Source organism: Homo sapiens, chromosome 11 (assembly GCF_000001405.40).
Source record: "Homo sapiens chromosome 11, GRCh38.p14 Primary Assembly".
NCBI classification, from domain to species: domain Eukaryota; kingdom Metazoa; phylum Chordata; class Mammalia; order Primates; family Hominidae; genus Homo; species Homo sapiens.
The window spans coordinates 3,395,166-3,407,516 of record NC_000011.10 but is presented as its reverse complement, the minus strand read 5'-3'; the positions used below and the strand labels follow the sequence as shown (position 1 = coordinate 3,407,516).

Here is a 12,351-nt window from a genome sequence, read left to right as displayed (position 1 = left end):
GGGTTGGAACAGGGGGTGTGGTTTCTGGGAGCTGGTTCTTAGATTTGGCATCTGAAGGGTATAAAGGCCTGGGGGGGTGCACATCGAAATGGCCAAACCGATTTGAGGAGGGAGCCTTAAGGAGGGTTTCTACCTTCTGTGCTGGATGCTCTTCAAGGACTGAAGAATTATTTTTGCATGTTTTGCTTAATTCCATGGCCATGGAACAAGTAAAGGCAACACCCTGGGGACTGGCTCAGCACATAAAAGATGACTTTTCTAGGGCACCAGGTTTGATCCCGACATTCCCTGAGCTCAGCTCACACGAGGGGCTCACATCCCTGACTCCCATCCAGGAGCCGGCTCCTGAGCAGGGGCCAAGGGCTCAGCTTGTGCTGGGGCTACTGCTTCTAGAATCTCCTCTAACACCGCCCTTCCAAATGCCCGTCTACGCTGGGTGCAGTGAGGCCACAGCACGACACTCATTTAACTCATTCAAACCCAGCACGTGAGCTTGGCCAAACAGGACATGGTGGGAGAGAAAGAAACAAAGAAAACCATGTAAGCCTGCAGGCAATTCCCGCCAATTCTACTCTAGGAGCAAAAGCCCCGAGTGGAGTTCCAGTATTTAAGATGCTTTTTTTTCATATTAGGTTGGTGCAAAAGTAATTGCCATCTTTAATGGCAAAAACCGTGATTACTTTTGTATCAACCTAAATATAACATGAGCTCTAAATGGAAGCAACTACTTCAGTGAGGCTCAGCCCAGACACAGTAACCGCAGGGCTCCTCCTCGTGGCCTCCAGTGTGTGCTGGACTGACCCAGGAGCAGGGCCTCACTGTGGGCAGCTCGCTCTGCACTGTTTCCTCCTCAGCGGTGGATCTGTGAAGCTATCCCCAGAAAGATTCGGGTTCTGCTCCTGCCACTTGAAGTTCACGGCACACACAGGCAAACAGCACCCGAACATGTCCACCACCTTCATGGGCAGGTCCAGGCCACTGCAGGACGTGTGCAGACAGACACCCAGATCCACCGACCCTGCTGGGCAAGAGGGGTGCGGTCAGAGCGCTGGTCTCTGCCCTGGGAACACAAATCCTCCCAGCACAGTGAGGCAACATCCCCCGAGGGGAGTGAAAATCGGATAAGTCCCCCGACAGCCCCAAGCACAAGTGGCTTAAGCTGGCCAAGCAGCCACATGGCCTGGCTGGGACATCTGAAAATGTAAGTTGACACTTTTTCTACGTAACCACAATTTGGTTTTTTTGTTGTTGTTTTGTTTTGTTTTGAGACAGAGTCTCACTCCGTCACCCAGGCTGGAGTGCAGTGGCACAATCTCAGCTCACTGCAACCTCCACCTCCCAGGTTCACCTCCCGCATGTAAGCCCAGCATTTTGTGAGGCCAAGGTGGGTGGAACACCTGAGGTCAGGAGTTCAAGACCAGCCTGGCCAACATGGTGAAACCCCATCTCTACTAAAAAAAATACAAAATTAGCGAAGCATCGTGGCAGGTGCCTGTAATCCCAGCTACTCAGGAGGCTGAGGCAGGAGAATTGCTTGAACCTGGGAAGGCGGAGGTTGCAGTGAGCCAAGATCGTGCCATTGCACCCCAGCCTGGGCTACAAGAGCGAAACTCTGTCTCAAAATAATAATAATAATAATAATAATAATAATAAAAAACCACAGCACACCCACTACAAACCAGCTGTCAGTGTGAAAATAAAGTGAAACAGCTTAACATTTCTAAAGACTAGCTGGGGCCAGGCGTGATGGGTCACGCCTGGAATCCCAGCACTTAGGGAGGCCAAGGCAGGAGGATCACTTGAAGTCAGGAGTTCAAGACCAGCCTGGCCAACACGGTGAAACCCTGTTTCTACTAAAAATACAAAAATAAACCAGGTGTTGTGGCGGGCTCCTGTAATCCCGTAATCTACTCGGGAGGCTGAGGTGGGAGAATCGCTTGAACCCAGGAGGCGGAGGTTGCATGAACTGAGATCGTGCACTCCAGCCTAGGCAACGGAGCGAGACTGTCTAAAACAAAGACTAACTGGAGAGTCCTGCCAGGAAAAGGCCCTCAGCCTCCAACTGCTCTGCTCACTCGAAGCTGGAAGATGTGGCTCTAGAGACGCATCAGGACCAAGCCACGACTCCCCACTTGGAGAAGTCAACGGGGAAAGAGACGGAGGCAAAGGAGAACCATCTCACTGGGAGAGGCGACGCTGTTTCACACATCGTCCCTGTACCTCCCAAAGCCACTGCCCTCCCACACCTGGGCAACAGTGGCCCCAACCCCAGGCCCAGCCCTCCTGCAGGAAGGAAGAGGACTGAATGGAGGGCGCGGAAGGCTGAAAGGACGTGGCCTCCTCAAACCCCTTGGTAAAGGGCCTCTGGGGCCACCTGGCAGGGAGGGGCTGGCACACCAGGAAGTAGCCTCCTCCCGGGAGTTCAGCCAGAGCCCAGGTCCTGTCCCCAAGTGGCCTCCAGAGCCACATTTTCAGAAAAAGTACATCCCGCCCACCCCTGTTCCCCCTGCTTAAGGCCCCGCCTCCTCCCTGAGCCTCCTGCTGGCCTCTCACCTAGAAGCGGGGGTAGTCCTCGGCCTCCAGCCAAGGGGTGCAGACCTGGATGTGCTGGAAATGCTTCTGGTGGATGAGGCGGCTGTAATACTCCCTCGGAGGCCCTTTGCCTTCACAGAGAAGAGCAGATACTGCCATGGACTCGTCTCTGTCCCTGCCAATTGGCCTCAGGCCCAAGACACTCCCCCCGAGGAGGGATCCCTTTCCCAGAAGCTCCACCCCTCGGCCGCTCCAGTCAGGTCCCATCCAGGCCCTTCCAGAAGCAACGCAGGAGCCCCTAGACCTGCAGGGGTGTGTGCACTCTGACCCCTGACGCACAGCCCTGCATTTGCAGCCAGCTGGCCTCGGGCTGCAAACATGGCGGGGTAAGCACTGGCCTGGCAGTCGACCGCCCACTGGGTGGACCCAGCCTTCTGTCTGTGTTGTGCACAGGGGACACGAGGACTCCCCCTGCCCTGCCACAGCCCCCAGAGCACATGGCGCAGGTTCCAAACCGCCCCTGCCCTGCCACAGCCCCCAGAGCACATGGCGTGGGCTCCAAACCACTCCTGGGAGCCTAGTGGCCAGAGGAGGGAGGAGAGCAGGACCAGCAGCTGGCCCAGACCCCGCCTCTTCCCACACCACTTCCGCTTTTCTCCGTCCTCAGAGTCACCTTGAAAGGGCTCAGCAGCAGTAACTGTGGGACAGGGGTTCTTCCGTTTGAAAAATTAAAAGAGGCTTGGTTAAGGCACCAATGACATGGCCAGGCACAGTGGTTCGTGCCTATAATTCGAGCATATTGGGAGGCCAAGGTGGGTGGATCACCTGAGGTCAGGAGTTCAAGACCAGCCTGGCCAACATGATGAAACCCTGTTTGTACTAAAAATACAAAAATTAGCTGGGTGTGGTGGGCCCCTGTAGTCCCAGCTACTCGGGAGGCTAAGGCATGAGAATTGCTTGAATGTGAGAGGCGGAGGTTGCAGTGAGCCCAGATCACACCAGTGCACCCCAGCCTGGGCGACAGAGACTCTGTCTCAAAAAAAAAAAAGAAAAAAGACACCAATGATGTAACAACAACAAAAAAAAGATGCTTGGAAACTACTGAAAAAGTAGAAAGTTTGGTATCTACAGATTCAAATCTGGGCTCCCTGCCCTGCTGTGAAATCCTCTGAGCCTCAGTTTCCCCCATGTCAAGCAGTATAAGACCCTATGGCAGAGAGCTGCAGTGAAGATTAAGGAGACAAGATCGTGGGAAGCACAGGGTAAAGGCTGCGTGCCCCTCCCCCTCCGCCATCCCCCAACCAATCAGACACCCAGGGTCCTAGGCGGTACCTGTTATCACACAGACGAGAGAAGGAAGGTTGTGTCCATCAAGAGTCAGTTGTTCAAACTCTGTGTTTAAAAAAAGAAACAATTCTACATGGAATTTCTGATAGAATTTCTTTTTTTTTTTTCCTGACAGACTCTTGCTCTGTCACCCAGGCTGGAATGCAATGGCGTGATCTCAGATCACTGCAACCTCTGCCTCCCGGGTTCAAGTAATTCTCGTGCATCAGCCTCCCAAGTAGCTGGGATTACAGGCGCCCACCACCATACCCAGCTAATTTTTGTATTTTTAGTAGAGACAGGTTTTGCCATGTTGGCCTCGAACTCCTGACCTCAGGTGATCTGCCTGCCTTGGCCTCCCAGAGTTCTAGGATTACAGGTGTGAGCCACCGTGCCCATTCAGAAAAAAAGTTTTAAATAAACAATAGCCAGAGTCACCTGTTCAGGTGGAGAAAGAGCACTGCTCTGGTGGGGAGGCCACCAGCCTCTGTGAGATACTCTCCTGGAGGGGGCATTTCAGCCTGAGGGCCTGGTCACTGAATGACCCAACTGGGGATTCAGGGCGGCCCACCTCCACCACCCCCGCTGTCCCCAGGCTGCCCCACCCAGTGGCCCGGGACAGCAACACGCTGCAGGCCAGGCAAGCAGCTCACAGCTCAGCGGCCCCCGACAAGCCCATAGATCCTCACCGCAGCTACACACCTACTTTCTAAAGCTGCCAGCAGATGGAGAAGTCTTCGTCCTCTATGAGAAGAGAATTGAATGTCAGGGGCCTGTTTCTAGACACCCCTCTTCCAGCTCACACGCCCTCCCCTTCTCATTGAGACTGTGGCGGGGTGGGGGCATGCAGGACTGGCAGGGGTGAGGAGAACACAGGTTGGCCAGGTGCCCGTCACACCAAGCCCAAGTGTTCTAGGGGTCGTGCAGACCTGTCCAGCCTGTGCTGCTGACCAGCAGGGCTGGCCGCTCGCGGAGGCGCATCACCAGCCCGCTCCCAGCATCCCGCTCCATGAAGGCCGACCGCTCCGTGTCTGGGTCCTCAGGTTCTGAGATGAAAGAGCAGGAAAAAAGCCTGTGAGAGGCCACAGAGCAGGCCCGGGACCCAGGACGGGCATCTCCTGCCATGGCAAGGCCTGCAGGCTCCCAAAGGTTGGGGTGCCCAGCCACATCAGCAGCACCAGGCCACCCCTGCCATCTGAGGCCTGGGCTTGCTTTCTCTAATATTGTTGCTGGGTGCTAAGGTTACAACAGCAAACAAGACTGACTCATTCCTTTTCTCCACGCGACTTACTGTCTTATCATCCCCTGGACTCAAGATGAGGGTGCAGGGACACCCTCCCACACCACTCCAGCTTACCCAGGGGCACACCTCAGGGTGTGTGGACCTGCACTAAGGTCCCCTCCTTAGCCCCGTGAGACACCCCAGGGGACACACAGGTCCACAGATCCTGCCACAGGCCTGGGAACCCACTGGCAGGAGAGTAAGACAGCGCAGGGGTCCACAAACATTTCTTAAAGGGCCAGAGAGTAAATACTTCAGGCTTTGCGGGCCACAGGTTCTCTGTTGCAAAACACGATTCTGCTGTTGTAGCTCAAAGGCAGCTGTAGACAACTCAGAAGTTAATGAGTGTGTTGTGTTCCAATGGAACTTGATTTACAAAAGCAGGAGACTGGCCTGTAGCCTTAGTTTGCCAACCCCTGGATGAGTGGGTTCCCAGGTCTGCAGTGAGAAGGGGAGAGGACAGGGCATTGGCAAGCAGGAGAGAAGGCAGCTGAGGATGGGAGGCCTACCAGGCCCTGAACGGAGAGTGCGTGCCGCCCAGCTTCATGAAGAGTTGGTGCTGCAGGTCCAGAGGTCTCTTGAAAGAAAGATGCTGGCTTGTCATAGACGGTCACAGCCCTGCAATGAAATCATGGCAGGGCTATTGGGAGGGCTGAAGAAAGGCCTCAGGAATAGAGGACTCAGAGGCTCCAGGAAAAGAAGGATGCTTGGGGAATCCAAGTCTCAGACGATGACAAGAAGAAGCCTTGCAATTACTTGGGAATGCACAGAGAGATGTTCTAGGACCAAAATTGCCTGGACCCCCTGGCTGGCTGGGAAAGAAACTCTGCCCCCTCCTCTCCCAGCTTCCCCAAATTTTCCCATAATGTTGCCAAGCATTAGTCCAGCGTGGAGGCTACTTTTTGCTCAAACCACTCATTTGGGTCCCACGCCCAATGTAACCCATCCTCAGCAAAACAACCTTTATTTCCTTCTTCCACGTTTCCAGAAAGTTCCCCTAAAGCCCTAGGAATCACCAAATGAAAGGGGCTTTTTACAAACAGGAAACTTAAGTGGAGTGCCAATACACAACATGAATTGCACCAGGCTGGGTCTAAGATAAAACCAGACTGTGGACAGCAAGACAGATAAGACCCACATGGCTCTGCACTGCCTGGGTCTGTTATGGTGTGGAGGAATGTCTTAGTCTGTTGCTCCTGTGGGTGTAGCTAAAGCACGAACCAGGAGTCTTCATCCTTAGAAAGCAGTTAGACAGACACCTGAGAACCAATCCCAAACTGCAGCCTTCCACAGAACCTTCTGGAACCTTCCCGAATGCAACTCATTACTGCCAGAGGGTCTTTGATGAGAGTCTACTCTCCACCATTTGTCTTCAAAGAGAATACCCACATATTCTCTTTCCATGGAAAGGTAAGTTATTAGAGTTTATGCAGTCTGGTATATTAATTGAGAGCTTCAAAGAATGTCACGTTTACGATTCAGTCTCACAGACTGGGTTAAAAAGGCAGTGTTGACTATTAAGTTGTAAATTACTATAATGATCATTATTATTATTCAAGCAAGCTGTGAGAAATGAGCATTATCTCACAATATCTGCATTTTAGTGAACCTGAAGGAAGAGTGTATTTGCTGGAATTACAGAAGCCTGAGAACCACAGGGGAATTCTCACTGCAGGGTATTCAGGGTCAAAGGCTGATTCTATTTTGCATGCTCAATCCTTCCTCAATTTATTTTTATTTCTTTCTTTATTTTTTGAGACAGTGTCTCACTCTGTCGCCCAGGCTGGAGGGCCTTGGTGCAGTCTCAGCTCACTGCAACCTCGCCTCCCGGGTTCAAGTGATTCTCCTGCCTCAGCGTCCGGAGTAGCAGGGATTTGAGGCACCCACCACAAAGCCCAGCTAATTTTTGTATTTTTAGAAGAGACGGGATTTCATCATGTTGGCCAGGCTGGTCTCGAACTCCTGACCTCAGGTGATCCACCCACCTCAGCCTCCCAAATTGTTGGGATTACACATGTGAGCCACCACACCTGGCCGGGCCTAGGTTTTTGAAGAAGGAATTGAACTGAGTGTAGGCCAGGTTGTACTGCTGAAGTGTCTTCTTTGTACTTGGAATGTGCTAGGATGGATAGACTTCAAAGTGCAAAGCGCCTGAAGGATCTCGCATTCATCAATTCTATGCACTGAGCTTCTGTCCCCAGAATACCACTCTCAGAGTAGGAATATGGCAAGGCCAGTTTGATAGGTGGGGCATGGATTGGAGGCTCAGGCCACTGCACTGCACATACAGGTCTTGATGTAAACGGTCTGGTGGAGGTCAAGTTCTGTTTAGCGTGGGTAGACTATGTGACAGAGTGAAGAAAGGTAATGGTCTAAACGCAGCAAAAGTTTCATTCCCACTCACGTGCCAGTCTGTGGAGCAGGCAGCTCCTCTCCTCATGAACCTGGGACCCAGGTATCCTCCATCTTGTGGTTCTGCTTCTCCAGAGCCTTGTCATTTTTTTCATCTAGCTATGGTGACAAGATCTTTTGGATAAGCCATGAATATTAAACCAAAGGCAAACTCTGAAAATTGATTTGACGTGTGGTCAGCTGCTCATTTAGCACAGTCCGGGGAATGCTGGGGTGATGGGCAAGAAGGTTTTCATGAGGAGGTTGAAGAGATCTAAGTATAGGGGTGCCAGCCTGGGGCACTTCAGAAGGGGCACTGGCCTAGGGGTAGCAGCAGGGCGACCCTGATTTCCCTGGGGCAGGGTGTGGCTCACGACGGGGTGCTGAGAACCCACCAAGAAGGCTGGAACTTTCAGCACTCATTGTTTTATGAGGGCCTGCCTGTGTGCCAGGCTGGAAGACACTGACCAGAGGCCCAGGGCAACTGAAGAGTCTCAGCCTGGTCTCTTGGTGCCTGGGGGGTACACTGTACAAGTGATGATGTAGTTCCAAGGGGCAGGACTCTGACCCACACTCCTGGTGCCAATGTCCGTTTTGCCACTCATGTTAGATTTTGCTTCTTTAAGTGAACTTACTCAGGATAGCTGGGTTCTTGGTCATTCTTCCAGTGGTTTTCAAGGGTGAAAAAAGGAGTTTCAGCAAGACAGCTAACGTCTGGATGAGTGAGCCAGGAGGTGTCTGTAGCCTTCCTCTAGAGAGCACTCTGGGCTGGTGGGCGTGAGGACTCCAGTTTCATGCGCGTCCGTGTGAAGATACCACCAAACAGGCTTTGTGTGAGCAATAAAGCTGTTTATTTCACATGGGTGCAGGCAGGCTGAGTGAAAAGAGAGTCAGAGAAGGGAGATAGGGGTAGGGCCATTTTATAGGATTTGGGTAGGTAAAGGAAAATTACAGTTAAAGGGGGGTTGTTCTCTGGCGGGCAGAATGGGGGTCACAAGGTACTCAGTGGGGGAGGTTTTGAGCCAGGATGAGCCAGGAGAAGGAATTTCACAAGACAATGTCATCAGTTAAGGCAGGAACAGGCCATTTTCACTTCTTTTGTGGTGGAATGTCATCAGTTAAGGCAGGAACCGGCCATCTGGATGTGTACGTGCAGGTCACAGGGGATATGATGGCTTAGCTTGAGCTCAGAGGCCTGACACCCAGGGCAGGCTGGCTCAGCCCTTTTGACTTCAGATTTCAGGGAAGGCCAGGGAGCTGGATTGGGTGCCTGGAATTTCTGAGAATTATGTTTCTGAGAGGATTTTGAAACCTAAACAGGAATACTTTACACACAGGTCATCAAGCAGGAACTGGGAAGTTCCAAAACTGCCCTCCTTCATGCCACCTCCTCCCTTCAGAGGCCAAGGGTGGCCAAGCTGTCTCCCACACACCTCAGTGAAAAGTCCCTGGCTGTCCTCCCAACCACCTCGCTGTGACCTTGTGAGGTGTGAGAAGGAGGAAGGGGATCTACGTTCTGGATGAACCTTCCTTCCTCCTTGCTGAGAAATAGTTTAGGCCCCTGCGCCTGCTGGGCCTCAGACCTTCTCAGAGCCCAGGGCCCACTGTGGCTCCTGCAAGCTGCCTGGGAATTCCACGGAGGCTGACTGGCTGCCTCTCTTATTCCCAGTCTGCTGCAACCCATTTCCTAAGCTGGGGTGGCTGAAAACCACAGAAATTCATCCTCTCACAGTTCTGGAGGCCAGAGTCTGAATGCAGGTGTTGGCAGGGCTGTGCTGCCTTTGAAGGTTCTAGGGAAGAATCCTTCCTGGCCTTTTCCAGTTTTGGGTGGTGGCTGGCAATGTGCGGCATTCCTTGGCTTCAGGTGCATCATTCCAGCTGCACACCGCTGTCTTTTTTTTTTTTTTTTTTTTTTATTGATCATTCTTGGGTGTTTCTCACAGAGGGGGATTTGGCAGGGTCATAGGACAATAGTGGAGGGAGGGTCAGCAGATAAACAAGTGAACAAAGGTCTCTGGTTTTCCTAGGCAGAGGACTCTGCGGCCTTCCGCAGTGTTTGTGTCCCTGGGTACTTGAGATTAGGGAGTGGTGATGACTCTTAAGGAGCATGCTGCCTTCAAGCATCTGTTTAAAAAAGCACATCTTGCACCGCCCTTAATCCATTTAACCCTGAGTGGACACAGCACATGTTTCAGAGAGCACAGGGTTGGGGGTAAGGTCATAGATCAACAGCGTCCCAAGGCAGAAGAATTTTTCTTAGTACAGAACAAAATGAAAAGTCTCTCATGTCTACTTCTTTCTACACAGACACAGCAACCATCCGATTTCTCAATCTTTTCCCCACCTTTCCCCCTTTTCTATTCCACAAAACCGCCATTGTCATCATGGCCCATTCTCAATGAGCTGTTGGGTACACCTCCCAGACGGCGTGGTGGCCGGGCAGAAGGGCTCCTCACTTCCCAGAAGGGGCGGCCGGGCAGAGGCGCCCCCCACCTCCCGGACGGGGTGGCTGGCTGGCGGGGGCTGACCCCCCACCTCCCTCCCGGACGGGGTGGCTGCCGGGTGGAGACGCTCCTCACCTCCCAGACGGGGTGGCTGCCAGGTGGAGGGGCTCCTCACTTCTCAGATGGGGTGGCTGCCGGGCTGAGGGGCTCCTCACTTCTCAGACGGGGCGGCTGCTGGGCGGAGGGGCTCCTCACATCCCAGACGATGGGCGGCCAGGCAGAGACGCTCCTCACTTCCCAGACGGGGTGGCGGCTGGGCAGAGGCTGCAATCTCAGCACTTTGGAAGGCCAAGGCAGGCTGCTAGGAGGTGGTGGTTGTAGCGAGCCGAGATCACGCCACTGCACTCCGGCCTGGGCACCTGTGACTATATATATATAGTCACAATATATTTGCTGTCAAAGTATTATCATCAAAACTCTATAGAAAATATACACATCCTTGGGCTGGGCACAGTGGCTAACGTCTGTAATCCTAACACTTTGGGAAGTTGAGGCGTGTGGATCACCTGAGCTCACGAGTTCAAGACCAGCTTGGCCAACATGGCAAACCCCATCTCTACTAAAAATACAAAAATTAGCTGGTGTGGTGGCATGCACCTCTAATCTCAGCTACTCAGGAAGCTGAGGCACAAGAATCGCTCGAACCCGGGAGGCGGAGGTTGTAGTGAGCCCAGATTGTGCCACTGCACTCCAGCCGGTGCGACAGAGTAAGACTCCATGAAAACGCAAAACAAAACAAAATAAAACCAAACAAAAAAAAACAACAAAAACAAACAGGCACTTCTGATGCAGGCCGCAACATGGATGAACCTTGAAGACATTATCGTCAGTGAAATAAATAAATCCCAAAAGGATAAACATGCCCAGGCTCAGTGGCTCACACCTGTAACCCCAGCATTTTGGGAGGCTGAGACAGGTGGATCCCTTAAGCTCAGGAGTTCGAGACCAGCCTGGCCAATATGGTGAAAGCTCGTCTCTATTAAAAATACAAAAATTAGCTGGGCATGATAGCGCACGCCTGTAATCCCAGCTACTCGGGAGACTGAGACATAAGAATTGCTTGAGCCCCCGAAGTGGAAGTTGCAGTGAGCCGAGATCACGCCACTGCACTCCAGCCTGGGTGACAGAGAAAGATTCTACCTCTAAAAAAAAAAATTAAACACGGTATGATTCCACTTATCTATCAAGTGTCTAGAGTAGTTAGACTCCTAGAGTTGCAAACTAGAAAGGTGGCCCCCAGGGGTAGGCGAGAGAGAGGAGTGGAGAGCTTGGCGAATGGTTGCAATTTCCATTTTGAAAAATAAAACTGTTCCGGAGATGATGGCGGTGATGGTTGCTAAACAATGTGAACATACTTAATGTCATTAAACTGTAAACTGAAAAAGAGTGGAAACTGTAAATGTTTATACTGGCCATTCTATATGCACTAATATATATTTATAATTTTTAATATTTATACGTGGTATATTTTCCCATAATAAAAGATGAAAATTAAAGCAGTTGGATCTTTAAAAAGCAAAGAAAGAAGCGAAGAATACACACCAGCTTTCTCCTGATTAGAGGAAGAGCCCCAAAGCTTCTATGGACACTCACTTTTCTCTTCTTCTTGCATGATGATGAGGAAATCTTTAAGAGGTTGGGGAACTTGGGTGACTTTGGCTAATGAGGAGCTCTGTGCCTTGAGCCCCCCAGGGCACAGAACAGTAAATGGCCTGTGCCTCCAGCCCTGCAGTGTGAGGTTCCAGTCCTGTGGGCTCCACAGCCATCACCTGTATCAGGAGGCACATGTCTCAACGTGTCTTCTTGCCAGCCTTGAGGATGGAGTCTGAGCATCCATCGTGCACCACGCAGGGAGGACAGTGGACCTGTTCCCCGTGGTCATGGCCCAGCAAAGGGGAAGGGCAGTTCAGTGAGTGTAGGCAAAAGAAAGAGCGATCAGACTGTTACTGTGTCTATGTAGAAAGGAAAGACATAAGAGACTCCATTTTGAAAAAGACCTGTACTTTCAACAATTGCTTTGCTGAGATGTTGTTAATGTGTAGCTTTGCCCCAGCCACTTTGACCCAACCTGAAGCTCACAAAAACATGTGTTGTAGGAAATCAAGGTTTAAGGGATCTAGGACTGTGCAGGACATGCCTTGTTAACAAGATGTTTCCAAGCAGTATACTTGGTAAAAGTCATCGCCATTCTCTAGTCTCAATAAACCAGGGGCACGATACACTGTGGAAAGCTGCAGGGAGCCCTGCCCTTGAAAGCCGTTTATTGTCCAAGGTTTCTCCCCATGTGATAGTCTGAAAAGTGGCCTCGTGGGATGA

The 12,351-nt window shown here is 51.8% G+C and overlaps 1 pseudogene across 1 annotated transcript in view, besides 5 other annotated features; it reads right to left on the bottom strand.

The window, feature by feature from the left end:
* The window catches only part of TSSC2 (tumor suppressing subtransferable candidate 2 (pseudogene)), a 28,188-nt pseudogene that overhangs the window by 1,632 nt on the left and 14,205 nt on the right, over positions 1-12,351 (bottom strand). The window contains exons 4-9 of the transcript NR_024248.1: positions 5,650-5,758; positions 4,788-4,904; positions 4,565-4,602; positions 3,865-3,924; positions 2,554-2,663; positions 802-1,018 (exon numbers count right to left, since the gene is read on the bottom strand). The product of NR_024248.1 is annotated as a tumor suppressing subtransferable candidate 2 (pseudogene) (transcript). The remainder of the gene's footprint in view (positions 1-801; positions 1,019-2,553; positions 2,664-3,864; positions 3,925-4,564; positions 4,603-4,787; positions 4,905-5,649; positions 5,759-12,351) is intronic.
* Positions 461-972: an enhancer, noted in NCBI's record as "H3K4me1 hESC enhancer chr11:3427775-3428286 (GRCh37/hg19 assembly coordinates)". NCBI's record gives its function as "activates a minimal SCP1, AML or CMV promoter by ChIP-STARR-seq in primed H9 embryonic stem cells {active_cell/tissue: H9 hESC(primed)}" and the evidence as "EXISTENCE:reporter gene assay evidence [ECO:0000049][PMID:30033119]".
* Positions 973-1,486: an enhancer, noted in NCBI's record as "H3K4me1 hESC enhancer chr11:3427261-3427774 (GRCh37/hg19 assembly coordinates)". NCBI's record gives its function as "activates a minimal SCP1, AML or CMV promoter by ChIP-STARR-seq in primed H9 embryonic stem cells {active_cell/tissue: H9 hESC(primed)}" and the evidence as "EXISTENCE:reporter gene assay evidence [ECO:0000049][PMID:30033119]".
* Positions 1,844-2,677: an enhancer, noted in NCBI's record as "H3K27ac-H3K4me1 hESC enhancer chr11:3426070-3426903 (GRCh37/hg19 assembly coordinates)". NCBI's record gives its function as "activates a minimal SCP1, AML or CMV promoter by ChIP-STARR-seq in primed H9 embryonic stem cells {active_cell/tissue: H9 hESC(primed)}" and the evidence as "EXISTENCE:reporter gene assay evidence [ECO:0000049][PMID:30033119]".
* Positions 2,678-3,512: an enhancer, noted in NCBI's record as "H3K27ac-H3K4me1 hESC enhancer chr11:3425235-3426069 (GRCh37/hg19 assembly coordinates)". NCBI's record gives its function as "activates a minimal SCP1, AML or CMV promoter by ChIP-STARR-seq in naive and primed H9 embryonic stem cells {active_cell/tissue: H9 hESC(naive and primed)}" and the evidence as "EXISTENCE:reporter gene assay evidence [ECO:0000049][PMID:30033119]".
* Positions 6,184-6,478: a silencer, noted in NCBI's record as "tiled region #4578; HepG2 Repressive non-DNase unmatched - State 13:Ctcf". NCBI's record gives its function as "represses a minimal TATA promoter and a strong SV40 promoter by Sharpr-MPRA in HepG2 cells {active_cell/tissue: HepG2}" and the evidence as "EXISTENCE:reporter gene assay evidence [ECO:0000049][PMID:27701403]".